We start from the raw sequence: 22,110 nt of genomic DNA, 5'->3' as shown, positions 1-22,110 counted from the left end.
ACCCCTCCAGGACTCAGCTCAGTGGTCACTTTTTCTAAGAAGTCTTGTTTTATAAGAAAACTGTTTTACTGTCAAGATATGTTTGGGAAATCTGAATAACACAGAGCAAAATAGGGCTCTGAATGAGAACTTTTTAGGGCCTTTAATTTGCAAGTGCATGTGTAATTATTGGAGAGCTGAGAAATATAGTACCCAGCGTTTTCCAAGCTTCAATGCCTGCAGAACCCATCTTTTGTATCCTGTAGCTGGCAGGACCAGGATTTTCCAGAACATCCTTTGGAAAACTTGGAGCTTACTCATTTCCCAAGTGCTTGTGATGGAATCTGTGTTGGCAGAGAGAAAGTGAGGGGTGATTTGAGACAAGGAAGTATAACAAGAGCAAAGATGGAAGATGGGATGAAGCACGATTTGGGGAGATTGTGAGGTGCCAAGTTGGTGAGCTGGGAGCAGGGTTGAGAGCCAACTTGGCCTCCACGAACAAAGAAATGTGAAATATTTTGTCTAAGGGAAGACAGTCACTATTCTCTAAGAGCTCTGACGCTTCATGACTGACTCCTCCATGCCTGGGCCACTTCAACATGAGTGTTCCCTAAAGCACCGGGGTCCTGGGAGAGGCTGAACTACTAAAGGGCCACATGGTCTGGAGAACTAGAAGAAACAGACCTCCCTCTCAGATGTCTCTATCTCACTATCTAGAGTTGTCATCGAGCTCTATAGAAGCAAGCAATTACATGACATTATTGTCCCTATTTTAGAGATGAGGAAACAAAAACAAGTGGTAAACACTGTTCTGGTTATCTTTTTTTTTTTTTGGAACCGGGTATCACTCTGTCACCCAGACTGGAGTGCAGTGGCACAATCTCAGCTCACCAAAGCCTTCACTGCCTGAGCTCAAGCGATCCTCCTGCCTTATCCTCCTGAGGGACCACAGGCACATGCCACCATACCAGGCTAATTTTCTTTTTTTTGAGACAGAGTCTCACTCTGTTGCCCAGGCTGGAGTGCAGTGGCACAATCTCAGCTCACTGCAGCCTCTGCTTCCCAGGTTCAAGCAATTCTTCTGCCTCAGCCTCCCGAGTAGCTGAGAACACAGGCATGTGCCACCATGCCCAGCTAATTTTTGTATTTCTAGTAGAGACGGGGTTTCACCATTTTGGCCAGGCTGGTCTCAAACTCCTGGGCTCAAGCAATCCTCCTGCCTCTGCCTCTCAAATTGTTGGGATACAGGTGTAAGCCACCACATCAGGCCACTGGTTATCTTTTGATGTATAATAAACCAACTCAAAACTGTGTATTTAAAACAATAATCATTTTACTTTATCTCAGGATTTTGTGGGTCAGGAAGATGGGTTGAGACAAACTGGGTGATTATTCTGCTCCAAGTAGTATTGATTGCGGTTATTTGCTGTTGTTCAGTTGTGGCCACATTGGTGTGCAGAATCCAAGGTGGTTTCACTTATATATCAAGGTGGCTTGATGGGAACAGCTATAACACTGGGCTCATATAAAGCTGGGCCCCTCTTTTTCTTCCTTTAGTCTCAGGGCTCTCCATGTGGTTTCTGCAACACTGTAGTTAGACTTTTACATGGTAACATAAGGCTCTGAGATATAAGTAGAAGCTGCCATTGTCTTAAGGCCTGGGCCAGAAAATGGGACAGGGTCACTTTGGCCAATTTTATTGGTCAGTGTAGTCAGAATGATCTCAAATTCAAGGGGAGGGAACATAGACCTCACCTCTTTATGAAAGAAATGTCAGAGAATTTCTGGCCAGCTTTAATTCACCACAGAGATAAAGGTAGATTTAAACCAAAGGAGTCTGATTATAGAGACCATCCTCTTAATCACCACAATATCCTGCTTCAGAAACCAAAGACTGGTACCTATTGTTTGCTCAACACAGAGAGGACAGCCTGCATGCATTTAGGTTTAAATCAAGGGCCTTTCTCTGCTACAGGGTAAATTATCTGGATAATTCCCACAATTGTGTATGGGTAGACACAGCCTGAGTTAGGATTTGCACTTGAGGAGCTAGCAGGCACCATCTACACCTTAAAAGTATCTCCAGTTGTTTTCAAAATTAGAATGAGAAATGCAAATCTCTTCCTGCCTCATGACTCAAAGGGGTGCTATATAGTCCTCTCTAATGCAGGTCTCAGTACAAAAGGGCACAGCTGTGACCTCTCAGAGAGGCATGAGCTCTGGCTGGTAAATCTGTCCCAGATGACCTGCCCAAATATTGATTTGTTTTAGCATTCTTTGATATCATCATGGTTATAGGTGAGAAGTTAACTTTCAACAGGAACTCACCCCTCACCCACTCTCCGTAAGGTAAAACATCACTAACTGCGGTTCCTCATCTTCTTTTTAAAATTAAACATGGGTTCAAAAAGAAACCAAGTTTAAAAATTCATGTTATGGCTTTAAAATGCAGAGAAATTTTAACACTGCATGTGTTTTTAATTTCTATAAATCTGACTTTATATAATTATGTATTATTCTTTTTGTCTGTGCCTTTGTACAAGTGTTTCCCCATTAGTTTTTAAAAATTATTTTTCCAAATAATTTTTGCTTATAAAAATTTACAAACATATTGGGAAATGATAACAACACCAAGACAGCAAGCACAATTTGGAAAAAAAAAAAAACATCAAAAACAACTGTCTTAAAATTTCATGTCAGTGAACTTTCATGGGGGTCAATTTTAGCTTTTGTATATTTATTCTTTTAGCACATTTTTTGAGCACTGATGTGTCAGGTACTGGAGACGTGTTAAATGGACAGAGCTTATAAGAAAAGGAAGATAGATATTAATAATGCTAATAACAGAAAACAGAGCAATTGTATGAAGTTGGTTCTATTTTAATCTGAATTTTACTCATAAGGAAACTGTATCCCAGAGAGATTAAGTAACTTTCCCAAGATCTCATCACTAGTAGCAGGAGACAGGATTTGATCTCAAGCAATCTAGTTTAAAAAAAAAAAGTCTGTGCTCTTAACCTCTACGCATGTTGCCTTTCATTAATCAAACCGTCTCAAAAACATATAATAACAAACTATAATTTGTTCCATGGACTAGAGAGAGCTATGAAAGCATATAGGGTAACAGGGGGATTCCAGTCAGGATAGGGAAGGCTCCCCTGAATAGGCTCCTTTGAAACTATTCATTGCCAAGAATAGAATTTTGATAAAATTACATTATGTAGTAATATTTACTGTAAGCTTGTTACATGCTAGGTATAACTTTAATGCTTTTCAATATTAACTCACAATGTCCCTCTGAGATGGGTGATAGTAACCCAGTAACCTCCCTCTTTGCTATATGGAAGGAAGTTGAGGCTCAGGGGGTAAAGAGTTTGCTCAAAACCACACAGCTAGAAAGCAAGTCAGCACTTGAACCCAAGCCCACACTCTTTAGACTGAGTGCGTGTCTTATGAAAGAAAAGAGCAATGCCAACGAGTTGGAAGGGACATGTTGTCCCACTGCTCAAAGATGCTCTCACTGACTCTAACTATGGATTTCTAGTTGCCAAAGGACTGAGCAAAGAGAGCAAAAATTATGGATAAGACCAAATTCTAAGGCGGTAAAAACATTAAAACTAAGTTTTAAAAGGAAGTAACTCAGTGTAGTAATTGGTAGGATGTGTGACTGCTCTAAGTGCACCTGAGCTACCCTGCCACTGACAGTGGTGGAGAGTCCAGAAGCAAGGTCAAATGATAAACTCCCTTGCTTAAAATTGAATAATCAGTTCCAATTCACAGAATGTCAAAGTTAGATAAACCTTTTCCCTTTTATAGGTTTTCAAGACTGAACTGCAATTGCAAAAATAATTCCTACTTGCAATAACTACTGTGATTAAACCTAAAGGGTAGAGAAATGCATCCAGGTCTTTGGTGGTCTTCACAGTGTGAGGCACAATGTAGAGGCCCAATTTATTTTTAAATTGACATTAGCTTTTCTGTGATTACCCATATGTATATCAAAGCTTCTAGCAAAGTTACAGACCAAGGCTTCTCAAATTTTAATGTGCATGTAAATCATCTGCAATCTTGTTAAAATACAGATTCTGATTTAGAAAGTCTGGGACAGGGCCTTAGATTTTGAATTTCTAACAAGCTTCAGGTGATTCTGGCAGTCGGAGGGCCATACATTGAGGCTGGACACATTTATTACTCTGCTTACTTTGGGGCAAATGGATGCCCTTCCTTAGACTTCCCACTGGAGCAGCTCATTGTGGGGTGTTTCAAGTAGTTGCTACTTGCTCTAACAAACTTTTGTTCTTGGGACAGTCACTTGCCAGCTTAGGGATTTCAGAAGGCTCTAGGGTCGGAAGAGACCCCACATCACTCTAGCTTGCTGTTTTCTGCATGCTTTATGGTGGTGGTTGTCAAAGTATGAATCGGTTAAAAGCTTGGGCTGCCTTTCTTTAGATGGGCCTGCTTCTCAACAGTCATCTTCCCCTCTTACTCACTCCCTACTGCATTCCGCAACTGTTATTCCAACCCTTTTCCACATTCCTCAAACCCTCCCTCCTCCCTCGCCCCAACTCCTTTGAGAGTTATAACCTCTCCTCCCACTTGCAGAAATGAAGGCCCAAGTTCCTTCATCCATCTTCCTTTCAGCCTTATAATATTTTTATATGAACACTTTCCTCTTTCATCCACATTTTATTCTTATCTTCATCCATTTTTATTATCTTTCCCCTGTCAGCAGATTAATTCCCTCACTGGTGCTTTTGTTCCCATCTCTAAACCTTCCCTGAGACTGTACCACCAATTATCATTATTCTGTCTTAAAGATTTAGTATCCTCTCTTACCTATCTCTTCATTCTCTTCACACAGTCTCAGTTCTCACTTTGCCTTTCCTAAATTTTTATTAAAGAAGTTAAAAAATACCCACTAGGTATAGAGAATTGTATAATGAACTCCCATTTACCCATCAAACAACCAGAAATAATCAAATTTTTCCATTTTTGAATTCTGTCTTGGAAACATCTTCCCTTGACCCTGCTCCTTTCTCCTCTTGACCAAGCCTGTCTCTCCAGTTCCCAGCCCCCTCTGATTTGTTAACCTCTTGCCATCTGGTTCCTGTCCCAGTCTCACTATGGCAAGTTCATCAGTGCCATTACCCGTTACTGAACCCCGTGGCCATGTCTCAGGCTTCATTCTCCTTTGACCTCCTTGCAGCGTTCCACTATTTCTGAGTCTCTTCCCACTGAGCAGCTGGAAGCACACTGGCTATCTGCGGAAGGACTTTGGAAGCCAGCACTCTGAAGCTTGTTCCCTCTCCTCCTCCCTTCTTCCCGGGACTTTCAGGGCTGTATCTGTTTTTCAAACTTATCACCATGTCAGAACCTCTAATCTTACCTCTGGGCCAGAAATGGAGATGGGACACTCCTTAAAAACGGTGACAGTATCTTATAGAAAGGTAAAGTCCTTAACTGTACCTAGCACGGTGCCTCCACTTAATCAAGGCACCATAAAATACGCGCTGATAATAGTGATGATGACGATAATGACTGCCACCGACATACAACTGTTAAACCAGACTATGGAAAATACAAGACAGGGGAGTGAGCTGGAAGTCACCCTGCCTGCCCACTTCCACACTGCACGGGCGGACCCTCAAGCACTGGAAGAGAAGTTCCGGGGCTGGGCTGGCCTGGCAGTAGGCGGCGGAATGGAGACACGGACCCAGGACCGGGCCTGACTCCGGCCCCACGCTGTCCTCTTCCTGGGATGCCGCAGGGCGGGGCCCTGACCCACAGCCTCCTTCTCACTCGGGCAGTCTCAGAGCCCGCGACTTCGAAAGTGAGGAGCTGCTGGCGCCGCGTGCTGCAGGCCAGGATCTGGTGAGTTTGAAGAGAGGCCCGGACAACCAACATGAAAACCCCTGCTTCCTTTTCCTGAAGTGTAACCCTGACGGAGGTGAAGAAATAGCTTCTATTGGCATTTTAAGTTCAGCAAGAAATACGGAAGTGTACCCAGGAGAGGAGTACTGTGGAACCAGCAGGGGCAAGAATGTTTATACTGTCCTGGATTACAGGACTGTGAGGACGTGGGAAATTGAAAACCCAAAGAAACAAAAAAAGTGTGTTTAAACCACGGACGATGCAGAACAAAAAAATGTCATTCCCACAACGTGCACATATAGTAGAGATGGAAATCTCATAGCAGCCGCCTGCCAGAATGGAAGCATGCAGATCTGGGACCGATATCTGACGGTTCATCCTAAGTTCAACTATAAACAGCCTCATTACTTGGGCACAGACACTTCTTGGCGTGACTTTTTCCTATGATGGTAATGTCCTTGCCTCTCGTGGAGGTGATGATTCGTTAAAATTATGGGACATCCGACAATTTAATAAGCACTTTTTTCAGCCTCGGGTCTTCCCACCATGTTCCCAATGATTGACTGCTGTTTCAGTCCAGATGATAAGCTCATAGTCACTGGTACGTCTGTTCAAAGGGGATGTGGCAGCGGCAAACTTGTTTGCCTTGAGCGTAGGACTTTCCAAAGGGTGTATGAAACAGACATCACAGACGCTGCCTGCGGCATCCAAGGCTGAACCAGATCATGGTTGGAACTGGAAATGATTGTCTAAAGTCTATTACAACCCCAACAAGAGTCAGAGAGGAGCAAAATTATATGTGGTTAAAACCCGGCGAAAGGGGACTAGGCAGAGCCATGGAACCGCTGCCAGGTCGCTGTGAGTCCACGCCGCCCCTCGCGCTGCCTGCCCACCCAGCGTCCGCAGCCGCCATGGGAGTGCAGGTGGAAACCATCGCCCCAGGAGACGCGCACACCCTCCTGAAGCGCGGCCAGACCTGCGTGATGCACTACACCGGGATGCTTGAAGATGGAAAGAAATTTGATTCCTCCTGGGACAGAAAAAGCCCTTTAAGCTTATGCTTGGCAAGCAGGAGGTGATCCCAGCCTGGGAAGAAAGGGTTGTCCAGATGAGTGCGGTGACCCGCCAATTTAGTGACAGCCAAACTGACTGTATCTCCAGATTATGCCTACGGTGCCACTGGGCACCCAGGCATCATCCCACCACACGCCACTCTCGTCTTCGATGTGGAGCTTCTAAAACTAGAATGACAGGAATGGCCTCCTCCTGTCATTCCAGTTTTAGAATGATCCAAGATCCAGATCCCTGTTCTTGGATCTGCCAAGGAGGGATCTGGTGCCTCCAGACGCGTGCACATGAATCCATATGGAGCTTTTCCTGATGTTCCACTCCACTCTGTATAGACATCAACCCTGACTGAATGTGTTCTGTCACTCAGCTTTGCTTCCAACACCTCCATCTCCTCTTCCCCTTTCTCCTCGTACGTGTGTTTACCTAAACTGTACGCCATAAACCTCAAGTTATTCATTTTATTTTGTTTTCATTTTGGGGTGAAGATTCAGTTTCAGTCTTTTGGATCTAGGTTTCCAATAAGTATATGGTCAAGTATTAACAGCACAAGTGATAGGTTAACTTTAGAATAGGAATTGGTGTGGGGCGGGGGTGGGGGTTGCAAGAATATTTTATTTTAATTTTTTTGGATGAAATTTTAATCTATTATATATTAAACATTCTTTCTGCTGCGCTGCAAAGCCATAGCAGATTTGAGGCACTGTTGAGGGCTCAATTATTCTCCACGTTGAGAGATGTCCTTAGGTTAAATTAAAAGCCCTACCTCAAACTGAGGTGGGGATGGGGAGAGCCTTTGCTTCCACTGGTCTCACCCCACCGTCCCCTTAAACCCTATGCCTTTGAAAGCAGATCATGTTCACTGCCATGCTGGACACTACAGGTCTGTCCCTAGGCCAGTGGGGACCTCTGAAGTCTTCTTTGTGGCCTGGCTTATGTATTTATTTATTTTTCCATCCTGTGGTTTTTCTAGTGGACTTTCAGGAATTTTGTAATCTCATAACTTTCCAAGCTCCACCACTTCCTAAATTTTAAAAACTTTAATTGACAGTTTAAATTGTAGGTGCTGTTTGTGACTTAACACCCAATGAAAGCCCAGGCATCATGACAAATCCTTGAATGTTCTCTTAAGAAAATAATGCTGGTCATCGCAGCTTCAGCATCTCCTGTTTTTTCATGCTTGGCTCTCACTGCTGATTTCAGTTTCCTAGCTTTTCCTCCCTCAGGCCCTTCTCACCCCCTTTGCTGTCCTGTGTAGTGGTTGGGTGAGAGAAATCATTGCTGCCTCACCCACCCCGGCACCATATATGGGTTTCAAGTTTTGTTATTGCAATAAAAGTGCTTTATGCTGGCTTTTCTAACAAACAAATAACCAGTGGGAGGCAAAACAAGCTGAGACACTAACCCAGGACTACATCATCGCCCCTCATGTCTTGCCTATGTTCTGTGAGCCCCACGAACGGAGTACAAGGAAACAGCTAGAGAAGGACAGACTGGATCCCCTGAAGTTGCATAAACCTGAACCTCCTGTAGCAGACCCAGGTTGTGGTGGGACCCACAAGGGCACTCTTTCTTTCTATATTGTGAAGAACATTGCTTTGGACAAGACTGACGACCGTAATCCTTGGGAAGCCATTTTGCATCATGCCAAAGCGCAGAAGACAACCCATATTGGGTTTCTCCAACACATTCCAAGACTCAGCCCAGAATCATGTTTGGCCAAGTTGAATCTGATGATGAGGAAGCAAAGAATGAGCCAGAATGGAAAAAATGTAAAATTTGAAGAATCTCTTTTGAAAACTGTTTGTATGAGTAGGAGGGAAATGTGACAGGTTTGGGTTTTCTTTTTAATACTCATGAAATTAAAAATTCATTTTTATGAAAAAAAAGAAAAAATACAAGACAGGATCATTTATCTACTTCTTGTACCTTTAGTTTTGGTCCCTTTTGGATTAACCATCTATCTAATTACCTAAGCTGCTGAGGCTAAAATGTATATGCTCTTGTGATTCTTATGTATTAATAATTTTGAATGCATTTTAAAATTCAACTTAACACTTAAAGTATTATCACTTGTTGATAATTGAATTGAGAGCTACTCAAGTTCACAAATGCAACTGGCAAGGTGGGGTGAGTTGGGGGAGGAAGGGCTTGAAGAGAGGACTAAGAAGGAGAGACGTGATTCTATTTGGTTCAAGCATAATATTTCTCTCCACCACCACCACAAAAACATAAACACCTGAAAAATACCATCATACAGAACACTTTCTTACAGTCTGGACAGTTATGTTTCAGACAGGGATGTGACACACAAGAAGCTTCAGCCATGTTCCTCTGCTATGTGCATGTGCTGGCTGGGAGGCCCCAAATCAGTACAATCTCATCCACCACCATCCGTGGGGTCTCCCTCTGCCCAGACCCAAGATACCTCTAGTATTCATTCACTGTGAAGTCAATGGTGCCTTCAAGTACTGCCTGCCAACCCCATGGTTTATTCACCAGCTCTTTAGTGCAGGCAAAGAAGAGAAACAAAAAGATCTCCAAAACTCCCTGGCTGAAGGGATTTGCTTCCTGCTTTGTTCTTGTGAAGATGCCTGGGCGTCATCCCACATAAAGCTACCTTCTCAGAGTCAGTGATGTAAGTGTGCCTTTGAGGCCAACTTGCCTTCAATCTTTTTGAGAAACCTTGCTGGGATATAATGGAAAGGGTCCCTGGGTATAAGTTCTGGCTCTACTGCTTAGTAACTGTTGCCCTTGAGAAGTTACTTAATCTCTCAGAGTCTCAGTCACTTCACCTATGAAGCAGAGTAATTGGTTATCCAGGGTTAGCCAATTATTAATCCGTTTATAGCATTGATTACATATACTATCATACACAAAACTTTATTTATTTTGTAAAATGAAGTCCAGGATTTGGCATCATATACTAAACACTGACTTTTTTTTAACAGAAAATATTATCAGATATTTTGAATAGTCCAGGCAAAACTATAGTGTATTCAGTTGAGATCCTACATCACATCCTCACGTCATCTCATGAGTGTGTATGTGTATGACTATCTTTCAGTATTCACTGTGTGTTCCTATCATCATCTTACTCGATCCCGCCAATGAAGTGGGCAGGCCAGCCAGGTAGGGATTATTATAGCCAGTATTTTTTATGAATGAGGAAACTGAGGCCAGAGAGGTCTAGAGAGTAGCCAAAGTTCACACAACCAGCAAGTGGCAGAGACAGAATTAGAGTAAACATCCTCTGACTTCTGGGCTAGGACTCTAGCTGCTGCCATGCAGGGAAAAACAGAATGTCCATAGCAGAAAGCTTGGCAGCCACGTAACCCCAACTACCAGCTCTAACCATATATGGCCAAGTCTCCTGCTCACTCAGCCTCCTTCTTCACCACCCACTCAGGTAAAAGTGACCTGAAGAAATACATATAGGGGATTTAATTATTACATTATTATTAATAATAAGTGGTCATTTTGTTGACAGAATATTGTCTAATATCAGGATTGGAGATTTTGCATTTTCTTCTGTGTTGGTTAGTGATTGTTGTGTAACAAATCAGCCCAAAGCTCAAGAGCTGAAAGCAACATTGGCAAGGCCAGAAATGACCTTGCAGTCTCAGGCACACAGCTGTCCAAAAGCTGAGGCCCAAGCAGAAAAGCAGATTGTGGCCAACTGCTGCTAGAATGGAACTTGCTTTCTGCCTGTGGCTCACACATTCTCTCTTTGATTCCCCAGCTCATTCATAAGAATTTCTTCACTTTGAGCTGCCAAAAGGCCGCAGAGAACTATTTTTAAATGTGAAGAATACTCTGAGAAAAATCATGTTTTTACTTTTTACTGTTTCTTTACTATGAAGCTGGTTATCATGCCTCTTAAAATTACTCCTGTTTTCTAAAACTGTTGTCCATTTGCAATTACACCATTAAACGAAAACTCTTTCTCCTCACATTTCTATAGAGGAGCAAATGTGACATTGTGGTGCACCAAGTTAAAACACTTTTTCTTTCTTCATTTCTTCTGGTAAGGAAAAGCAGATGAAATGATATGTCTGGGGATTTGCGACACTAGTGTGGGTGGGTGCGGAGACACAGCAACAATTGGCCAAGGAAGCTGGTGATTGCTACGGTGAAGGAGATAGATGGATTCATAACACAGCTAAGACTATTTTACTCCCTAGAATCAGAGACTGACAGAGCTAGAAAGTTATCTAGCCCAAACTAGTTATATTGTAGATAAGATAATGGGGGCCTGGTGAGATAGTGCCCAAGGCTACGCAAATGTGGGTCTTGAACTCCAGCCCTTCCCACATCCACGCCAGTGTTGCACAGGGTCACTTTATACTGTATTCCTTAATCTTTCCTGACTCATATGTCATAATTTTACTGTCATCAAAAGTTTGAGAACTGTCTTTAAGCAACTATGTTGACTTGGATCTCAATAAGAATGCAGACAAAGAGAAGACTATTTCATTTATTTAGGTCATAATATAATTTTGTAAGCAAAAAGTACAAAATGCACAATAGATATGTGCTTTATATATAATGTAAGTGTTCAGTATATATATTTAAAATATAATTACTTGGAACTTTCTCAAATTAATTCTCCCTTTGTACACACACACACACACACACTTCAGGTTCTTGATTCTAAACTCAAACAGCATATATTTTTCTTTTTTCTGGCACTTATTACCTCCTACTTTGTATTTAATTTACAAATTATGATATGATATGTCATATCATATCATATCATATCATATCATATGTCAATTTTTATACTTTTAGTAGAAATGGGGTTTCCCCATGTTGGCCAGGCTGGTCTCAAACTCCTGACCTCAGGTAATCCACTCGCCTCGGACTCCCAAACTGCTGGGATTACAGGCGTGAGCCACCGCACCCAGCCTGGACCCACACTCTTTTAAAAAATTGTAGCAATATATATATTACATAAAATTTACCATTATAATCATTTTAAAGTATACAATTCAGTGGCATTAAGTGGCATCCTTGTGCAACTATCATCAGTACTCATCTCTAAAACTTTTTAATCTTTCCAAGCTGAAATTCTATACCCATTAAACACCAGCTCCCCATTCTAGCCTCCTCCCAGTCCCTAGTAACCACTATTTTACTTTCTCTGTCTGTGAATTTGACTATTCTAGGTACCTCATGTAAATAGAAGCATACAATATTTGTCCTTTTGTAATGGATTTATTTCACTTATCATAATGTTTCAAGGTTTATCCATGTTATAGCATGTGTCAGAATTTTATTCCTTTTAAAGAGACTCGTGCTTTTTTTTTCAGCAGCTAGAACAACTAAGCTTGCAAAAATGATTAGTTAAAATTGAATTGCTCTCCTCAGGTGATTTGGCAATGGGCAATCCAGGGTATTGGGTCCACAGTCTGTCACCGTGCTCACCCTAGCAGGGATGGGCAGTACCCTGATGCTACTCCACTCTCAACGAGTTGTCCTGTCTAGTCAGGTTTCCTCAGTGATATGGTTTGGCTTTGTGTCTCCATCCAAATCTCATCTCGAATTGTAATCCCCATGTGTGGAGGAAGGGAAGTGATTGGATCATGGGGGCAGTTTCCCCCGTGTTATTCTCATGACAGTGAACAAGTTTTCACAAGGTCTGACAGTTTTATAAGGGGATCTTCCGCCTTCATTTTCTCTTCTCTCTTTCCTGCTGCCTTGTGAAGAAGGTACTTGCTTCTCCTTTGCCTTCCACCATGATTGTAAGTTTTCTGAGGCTTCCCCAGTCATGTGGACCTGTGAGTCAATTAAACTTCTTTCCTTTAAAAATTACCCAGCCTCAGGTATGTCTTTATAGCAGTGTGAAAATGGACTAATACACCTGGCATGGCTCCCCTAGCCTCCAGAGTAATAATGCCCCTTCCTTATTAATCTCAATTACCAACACCCCCCTTCCTTTGTTAATTTACATTACCAACCCTACCACAATCCCACCTGCCCACACACCAGGCTGTCCATCCTGAAGTATTCAACTTGGTCCTGCTACTGTGTTCTTCTTTGATCTCTAACCTGTTATTGATAAATAAACTTCTTGGTCTCTTCTGCTCTTGATATTCAATACCAAGTTTAAGTCTACTTTTGATGGTGAGTTTAAAAACTTCATTCAGAATATCATTTACTCTGTCAGGGTAAATTTAGATCATAAAGAATAATGTTGACAGTAATAAGGGTAGAAATGGGGAGTCAGCAAAGAAAGACTTAGGTTTAATATACATTCCAAATATCATCCTTTCACGGTCATGTCTTTTTTCTTTTCCTTCTTTCTTTTTTTTTTTTTTTTTTTTTTTTTGAGACAAAGTCTCCCTCTGTCACCCAGGCTGGAGTGCAGTGGCGTGATCTTGGCTCAGCGGAGCCTCCACCTCCCAGGTTCAAGGGATTCTCCTGTCTCAGCCTCCTGAGTACCTGGAATTACAGGTGCACACCACCACGCCCGGCTTACTTTTGTATTTTTGGTAGAGATCAGGTTTCTCCATGTTGGCCAGGCTGCTCTTGAACTCCTGGGCTCAAGCCATCCACCCACCTCCGCCTCCCAAAGTGCTGGGATTACAAGAGTGAGCCACTGTCCCTGTCCCTTTCACAGTCATTTCTGACAGCTAAGCTTTTGGGAAGGGAGAAGAGAGGTCATTCTTCTTGACAAGTATTGGAATTCAGTTATTCTGTGCTAATAATTAAAGTCTGAATCTGGTTTAAAATCCAGTTATGAGAATCTTGGTGCATAATGAAGACACACGCCCAACATAGGTCATCTCTGCTTGGTGATGGCCAAGCCAGTAATAAGAGGCAAGGCTAAGATTTCTCTCTCCAAATAATTTGTTGTATTTTATATGATTCAACATAATTTGCCATCATTTAGCCAAGAAAGATTTTTAGGTGATTATTACAAAACACCCACCATGGTTTTAAAAAACAGCAGCAGCGTCAAAATTAATTCAATGAAATATCCACAAATATTTTGTTTTGTGAAAAGTAATGTCCTAGTGCCCAGTAAGTTTTTTCAAATGCAGATTGAGATCCAGTAGGGAGTCATGAGCTCAACTTAGAAGGTCAGTATTTAATTTTAAAAATGAAATAAAAATAGAAGGAAATAGAGAATACTGGAGTACATCACAATTAGTAAGAATAAATATTGTTTTGTTAAATTTTTAATCTGGTAAGGTATGAGTATGTGTGTGTGTGTGTGTGTGTGTGTGTGTGTGTGTTATATTTTGTGGTATAGTTTATACTGAGTATAATGTGCTTCTTACTGAGGGTTCCAGCAGAGGAGAGTAGTTTGAGAAATTTTCCTTGTTAACTGAATGAACAGATTGCAAAGCAGTCCAGCTTACTGCCCTCTACAAGTAAAATGTTGCCAGATATCTACTCAAAATGCATTTGATTATAGAGTGGGCAATAATAAATACGTAGCAAGAATATCTTACATTTTCAGATACTCTTTGTTTTTCTTCATTCAAACATGATTTTTTTTCTTCTCTAGAAAAGGATTTTAAAAAGCTTATAAACACTTGAATATAATATAACATAACATACACACTGTAAATAATGAGTGGTAAAAATAATCCAAACAGAAAAATAGGTTGAGAAGGTGGTATGGAACCAGGACTGAAGGTAGCAGTATTCAGTAAACTCACACACCCTGGAAAGTGGTAAAACAATGAAAAAGGATAGGAGTACCCTCTGACATTTAGGACTGACTTGACATTCACACCTAGACCTCAATGCTATTACAAGTTGGTCTGACACACACAGCCAGGCCATGTTATTTTCCTCTTGAATATAAACAATCTCACAGAATATCTATATCTAACGAGGTCACTCTTAGGCCATGATAAAGTGAGACAAAAATAAGGTCACTGTGCAACACAAAATAACAGATATTTTCTTCTCTTGCTGAATGAGTGACAGTGACTTCTTTACCAATGACAGCTTTAATGTCTCCCTAGGCTGTGTGTTCCCCACAGATAAGACCTATCGAGATTCCCAAAAGTAGGATTGCCTCCACTTACTGATAATACCCAATCTGGAGAGAACCCTGTTTTCTTAGACTCTCCCTAAAATTACTCAACCAAACCCCAAATTCTATACCGGGTTGTTTTTGACAACCCTTTTCTGAGATACTCCATGACACTTTCATGGAGTTTTCAAGGTATTTTCCCTTACTGCAGTTTGTGAAAAACCCAACTTGTTCAACTACAGGTGTCTCTGGCAGTCTTTGTCTGAGAGTATAGATAACAGCAAAGCTGATTGTCGGCACCATGTCTTGCATGGGACAACAAAAAATCTCATTAGAAGCGCCTTTCCATCCTTCAGAGAGTGTGTAGGTGTGTTCATATGTGGGGTATGTGTAGGAGGACAGCAGTCGTAAAGAGCTAGCTTCATGGAGCTTTATCACCTCAATATCTTTTGGACTGAAAATTATCAGTTGCTGAAACTTAAAGAGTACCCAGAGTATTTTCAGGTGTGGTAATGTTTTTAGTTGTGTTTTTAAAAAGTACTTATCTTTTAAAGATAGATACCAGAATAGTTATGGATAAAGCACTGTGATATCTAGCTAAGGCTTGCTTCGAAATCATTTAGGGCAGCAGGGAAGTGGATTAGGGTGTGGAAGAAATAAGACTGGTCATGAGCTAATAATAATTGAAACTGGGTGATGGTCCTATTAAAGTTTATCACTATATTTTCTTTAACGTTAAAAATTTCCATAGTAAAAAGTAAAAATAAAAAGATCTCTGAAGTCCAATTGCTCATTTGTGTTTCCAGTTTGGGGAACACCAAAGCTAAATGAGGCTATGTCTGAATATGCTGAGAAGCAGGGTGTTGGAATTTAGTAGCAGATTCCAGAGTTTTGTGTGGGTGTGGAGGTGAGGCAGGACAGGCTTTGGAAAGATGTTATTCAAGGGGAGCAGAGAGTTCAGGCAGATTTCAAGCCAAATGTATACTCCAACTGCAACATCCATCTGAAGGGTTTGGGCAATCAGGTATGAGGCAACAAGGAAGGAATCTGAGATGCAGGAACAGAGCAAGGAGGTCTGAAATAGTGAGTGGAGATTGAAAGCTAGATATACTCCTTCAGTAGAGCCTGGCATGCCTGAGATCATGTCTGCTGCTGTGGAGGGAATTCTTAAAGAGAACTACTTAGTTGGTATTGCTTGAGTCACAGAATCAAATAATTTTGCTTTTTAAAAATCGGATATCATGATTTTTCTAAGGTTCGACACTTAAAAATCAAACACCATGCTTGTGAAAATAAATTCCTAAAATTGCTTTCCATTTTAATGGGGCTGACTTTTTTATTTCATCATTAAATATTTCTGGAGAGAAGGAACAATTCATTCATTCAAAGAATATTATTGAGCATCTAGTATATGCAAGCCTCAGACCTATGTGCTGGAGATAAATAATATCTGACTATATAGAGCTTAGGCTCTGGTGAGGAAGATAGAGGGTAATCCAACAATCATACAAATATTAAATTACAAACTAAGGTAAGTGCCCTGAAGAAGTACAAGGAGCTATTAAAGCATGTACCTTATTCTTTTTAGAAGAATTACCTGAATAACTCATTGGAATCTATAATTACTGGAAACATAGAAGGAAATAGGGCAGTATCAGGAGATGGGAGCAAGAGCAGGCATTTGGTTTGAATGATCAGAATTCTTGGTTTTTACTCTAGAGACAGAGCAATGAGTTACACAGTGACAGGCTCACATGGAGGATAAAATTTGCTGGCTAAAAAAAAAAAGCCCAAGGTGACAAAATCATCTTAGTCGTGAGGAAAACATAATCCGATACAAAAATTTGCCCTTTTTTTGGGAATAGTTTTAATTGGTAGGAACTCAGAAGCCTGAGGCATGTGGTAGATGATGTCTATCTTGCACTTGGTTGAAGAACTTCCAACTAAAAAATAACACAAGTAAACATCTTGTGTTTCTACGCACATGAAACTCATATATCTTATCCATCAGTGGTAGCTTGTCTCCAAAGACATTCACCATTAATCCCTTCCCTTTGTGCACATACATGCCATTCCCCTATGGAGAGGTGGAAACTACCCCTCCTCCTTCTTGAATCTTGGCTGGTCTGTACTTGCCTTTCGCTATCAGAATATGGCATAAGAGACCTGGGCCATTTCTGGGCTAAGGTTCTAAGATTATTGGTAGTTTCTGCTTCCTGTTTCTTCCTTTTCTTAGAGCATTAAGTCACCATACAGTACATCTAGACTACTCTTCTGGAGAAAGACACCATGTGGAGGAGCATGGAGGCAATAAAATAGAGGGTGAAGAAGCTGTCTTGGAAGCCCAGCCCAGACAAGCCTCCAGATGACTCAACTGCTGACTGCCATTGCATGAGAACCAACCAGCCAGGTTTAGTAAATCTTCAGAACCATGAGAGTCAACAATACATTGTTGTTTTAAGACCCTACTGATATGGTTTGGATCTGTGTCCTCATCCAAATCTCATGTTCAATTGTAACCCCCAGTGTTGGAGGTAAGGTCTGGTAGGAGGTGATTGGATCATGGAGGCAGTTTCTCATGAATAGTTTAAAGCACCATGACCTCAGTGCTGTTGTCATGATAGCGAGTGAGTGAATTATTGTGAAATCTGATTGTTTAAAAGTGGTAGCACCTCTTCCCCCACTCTTGGTCCTGGCTGATAACCAATTGAAACCCTTTTCTTTATAAATTACCCAGTCTCAGGTATTTCTTTGTAGCAATGTGAGAACAGACTAATACAGAAAATTGGTACCAAGTAGTGGGGCATTGCTATACAGATATCTGAAAATGTAGAAGCAGCTTTGAAATTGGGTAATGGGCAAAGGTTGGAACAGTTTGGAGGGCTCAGAAGAAGACAGGAAGATGAGAGAAAGTTTGGAACTTCCTAGAAACTTGTTGAATGGTTGTGACCAAAATGCTGAGAGTGATATGGACAGTAAGTCCATGCTGAGGAGGTGTCAGATGGAGATGAGGAACTTATTGGGAACTGGAGCAAAGGTCACTTTTGTTATGCATTAGCAAAACACTTGGAGCCATTGTGCCCCTGCTCTAGTGATTTGTGGAACTTTGAACTTGAGAATGATAATTTAGGGTATCTGGCAGAATACATTTCTGAGTGGCAAAGTGTTCAAGACGTGACCTGTCTGCTTCTAACACCCAATGTTCATATGCATGAGCAAAGAAATGATGTAAAACTGGAACTTACATTTAAAGGGGAAGCAGAGCATAAAAGTTTGAAAAATTTGCAGCCCAGCCATGTGTTAGAAAAGAAAAGCCCGTTTTTCAGAGGAGAAACTCAAGTGGGCTGCAGAAATTCACATAAGTAAAAAGGAGATAAGTGCTAATATCCAAGACAATGGGAAAGGCCTCAATGGCATTTCAGAAACCTTTCCAGCAGTACTGCCCATCACAGGCCCAAAGGACTAGGAGACAAGAATGGTTTCATGGGCCAGGCCCAGGGTCTCACTGCACTGTGCAGCATCAGGGTCCTGGATACTCCAGCTCCATCCGTGGCTCAAAGGGGCCCAGGTAGAGCTTGGGCCACTGATTCAGAGGGTGCCATCAATAAGCATTGGCAGCTTCCACGTGGTGTTAAGACTGCAGGTGCACAGAGTGTAAGAGTTAAGGCTTGGGAGCCTCCACCTAAATTTCAGAGGACGTACTGAAAAGCCTGGATGTCCAGACAGAAGCCTACTGCAGAGGTGGAGCCCTTACAGAGAACCTCTACTAGGGCAGTGCAGAGGGGAAATGTGAGGTTGGACCCCCAACCCAGAGTCCCCATTGGGGCTCTGCCTATGCCTAGTGGAGCTGTGAGAAGGGGGCCACTGCCCTCCAGACCCCAGAATGGTAGATCCACTGGCAGCTTGTACCCTGAACCTGGAAAAGCCACACTCAGCACCAACCCATGAAAGCAGCCACAGGGGCTGACTCCTGCAAAGCCACAGGGGTGGAGATGCCCAAGGCCTTGGGAGCCCACCATTTGCATGAGAGTGCCCTGAATGTGGGACATGGTGTCAAAAGAGATTATTTTGGAGCTTTAAGGTTCAATGGCTGCCCGGATAGGTTTTGAACTTGCATGGGGCCCGTAGTCCCTTTCTTTTGGCCAGTTTCTCCTTTTTGGAATGGGAGTGTTTTACCCAATGCTGGTACCCCCATTGTATCTTTCTTTCTTTCTTTTTCTTTCTTTTTTTTTTTTTTTTGAGACAGGGTCACACTCTGTTGTCTAGGCTGGAGTGCAGTGGTGTGATCTCAGTTCACTGCAACATTTGCCTCCTGGGCTCAGCCAATCCTCCCACCTCAGCCTCCTGAGTAGCTGGGACCACAGGCACACACCACCATGCCCAGCTAATGTTTGTATTTTTTTGTAGAGATGGGGTTTCACCATGTTGACCAGGCTGACTTCAAACTCCTAGTATCAAGCAATATGCCTGCCTCAGCCTCCAAAAGTGCTGGGATTACAGGCATGAGCCACCATTCCAAGCTCCCCCATTGTATCTTGAAAGTAACTAACTTGTTTTTGATTTTGCAGGCTCATAGGTAGAAGGGGCTTGCCTTGTCTCAGATGAGACTTTGGACTTTGGACTTTTGAGTTAATGCTGAAATGAGTTAAGACTTTGTGGGACTGTTGGGAAGGCATTATTGTATTTTGCAATTCAAGAAGGACATGAGAATTGGGAGGGCTCAGGGGAAGAATAGTATGGTTTGGATCTGTATCTGCACCCAAATCTTATGTTGAATTGTAATCCCCAGTGTTGGAGGTGGAGCCTAGTGGGAGATGATTGGATCATGTGGGTGGTTTCTCATAAACAGTTTGGTACCACCCCCTCGGTGCTGTTCTTGTGACAGTGAGTGAGTTATCATGAGATCTAGTTGTTTAAAGGAGTATAGCACCTCCACCATCTCTCTTTCTTGGTTCTGCTCCTGCCATGTAAGAGATCTGTCCCCACTTTGTTTCCCACTATGAGTACAATCTCCCTGAGGCTTCCCCGGAAGCAGATGCTGCCATATTCCTCTATAGCCCATGGAACCATGAGCCAATTAAACCTCTTTTCTTTATAAATTACCCTGTCTCAGATATTCCTTTATAGGAATGCAAGAACAGACTAATAAAATTACGTTTTGGGGTGATTTTGGCCATAGGTAACCAGAAATTATCTTTAACTGCAAGTACCTACAAAGAGCATAGCTTGTGCTCCACAAATGCTTATTTTTAAAGTTAAATTTGGGTTGAGCTATCTTTCTTTGTAGAACATTCCAGATCTCTCCAAATTTTACTGTGGCTTTTAGTAAGGGGCCATGATGAGAATGTAGCAGGATTGGGTAAGTTGTCTAGCACATTCCAATTGGACCTGTGTGAAATGGCACTGGACAAGGGAAGACTAATATTTATTGATGCTCTATTATGAGCCAGGAATAGTACCATGTGCTTGACATGTGCTATCTCATTTCATTCTCAAAACAACCACACAAAGGAGATGATGTAATCATCTCTATTTTAGAGATGGAAAAACCGGGGCCACAAAGTTGCTGAATGGCAGAGCTGAGTTGGTAGATCTGTTTGATTTCGATGCCAGTTACCTTGCTTGAATGTGTCCCTCATCTGGAGGAAATTCCACAGAAGTATCCTATGGAAGTTACTGAAAAGTTTATGTTAAGCAGATACAGATTCCTTGGAGCCTGACCTGATGCTCTGATGTTTACTTTTCTTTGTGTGAGTGTGAGGAGAGGTGTACTTGAAGGAGGAGTAGGTATGATAATGGATATATTAGAATTCATTCGTGTTCCCTGGGATAAGATCTTGGTTCTGTCTCCTCCTTGCTCTCCACAGAAACACCCCCTGCCATATCAGCCAGGTCAGAGCTGCAGCAGGCTCCAGCAACTGTTTGAAAGTCTTGAGCATTGTCAGATCTCGGAGGAGATCAAAAGAAACAGTCAAGCCGTATGGAGAGGGGAGGAGGCCAGAGAGAACTGACCTGCCACATTCTTTCAGACCTCCAAGCTGGCAGGAGACTGCATTCCCTGAACACCACTCCTAAACCTCCTGGATACAGCAGTCTCCACCCTGGGCCCAGAGGCTTCTCTGGGGGAAAGAGGCAAAGACACGCCAGGTGAAAAGCTCTGATTTGGATCAATCTTCCTCCCAGCTTGAGATGCTAAGATGTCACTTTGCAACACAGTGACTTCAACTTCTGAAACCTCAGCATTATTTAATATAGAATTACATATATCACCCTGGTTTAGGGCTTGCAGAGGAAATACATATTCATTATGTTTAAGACATTCTTAAGATTATCTTCCTTCCCCTTCAGAAAGTTTTATGGTTTTTTTTTTCTTTTTAAGGACTTAGCCTCTTGCTTCCAGCTTTAGTTTTATTTTTGCTTTTCTTTCCACAATTAGGTTCAGGAAAGAAAAATACATCAAGGCTCTGTCCCATCCTGTGGAGCTGGAAAATTTCCTTAGAAAGAGTCTCGAAAGGAGGAAAACAATGTTTTTTTACTGAATTAAATAACCTTACGTTGGCCATCTGGAAAGATACTTAAAACTATCATCAAAAGGACAGAGTCACTACCACAAAGGCGGAAAGACTTGTCCAGTAAGGGGCCATGATGAGAATTTACAGGGCTGAGAATTAACATGTGGTTACAGGGCTTTTTTCCATAACTTAGTTTTATATCCCTGAGGGCATCCCCCTCAATTGCTAGAGTATGTAGCAGAAGAAGGTCTCAGTCTAAAGCAAGTGGAAGCTACCTTTAGGCTGCTAGTCCAGCCAGAAGCCAGGTCTTGCAGGCCTTTCGCCAGCTCTACTGCTAAATCACAGGCTTCTTTTAAGAAAAATTGCTTCTATGTCACAGTTTACTTTTCTATAAACAGCATAGGCCAGGCGTGGTGGCTCACACCTGTAATTCCAGAACTTTGGGAGGCTGAGGTGGGAGGATCACTTGAAGTCAGGAGTTCAAAAGCAGCCTGGCCAACATGGTGAAACCTCATCTCTACTAAAAATACAGGCATGGTGGCACACAACTGTAATCTCAGCTACTCAGGAGGCTGAGGCAGGAGACTTGCTTGAACCCAGGGGGTGAAAGTTGCAGTGAGCCGAGATAGCACCACTGCACTCCAGCCTGGGTGACAGAGGGAGACTCTGTCTCAAAAACAAAACCAA

At 42.1% G+C, this 22,110-nt stretch overlaps 1 pseudogene, besides 3 other annotated features; it reads left to right on the top strand.

The window, feature by feature from the left end:
- Window positions 6,251–6,750: an enhancer, noted in NCBI's record as "H3K4me1 hESC enhancer chr3:149181913-149182412 (GRCh37/hg19 assembly coordinates)". NCBI's record gives its function as "activates a minimal SCP1, AML or CMV promoter by ChIP-STARR-seq in primed H9 embryonic stem cells {active_cell/tissue: H9 hESC(primed)}" and the evidence as "EXISTENCE:reporter gene assay evidence [ECO:0000049][PMID:30033119]".
- FKBP1AP4 (FKBP prolyl isomerase 1A pseudogene 4) lies at window positions 6,706–8,277 on the top strand (annotated as a pseudogene).
- Window positions 6,751–7,252: an enhancer, noted in NCBI's record as "H3K4me1 hESC enhancer chr3:149181411-149181912 (GRCh37/hg19 assembly coordinates)". NCBI's record gives its function as "activates a minimal SCP1, AML or CMV promoter by ChIP-STARR-seq in primed H9 embryonic stem cells {active_cell/tissue: H9 hESC(primed)}" and the evidence as "EXISTENCE:reporter gene assay evidence [ECO:0000049][PMID:30033119]".
- Window positions 20,606–21,107: an enhancer, noted in NCBI's record as "NANOG hESC enhancer chr3:149167556-149168057 (GRCh37/hg19 assembly coordinates)". NCBI's record gives its function as "activates a minimal SCP1, AML or CMV promoter by ChIP-STARR-seq in primed H9 embryonic stem cells {active_cell/tissue: H9 hESC(primed)}" and the evidence as "EXISTENCE:reporter gene assay evidence [ECO:0000049][PMID:30033119]".

Source organism: Homo sapiens, chromosome 3 (genome assembly GCF_000001405.40).
Source record: "Homo sapiens chromosome 3, GRCh38.p14 Primary Assembly".
Classification (NCBI taxonomy): domain Eukaryota; kingdom Metazoa; phylum Chordata; class Mammalia; order Primates; family Hominidae; genus Homo; species Homo sapiens.
The sequence above is the reverse complement of the archived record's forward strand: the minus strand, read 5'-3'. Positions and strand labels throughout refer to the sequence as shown.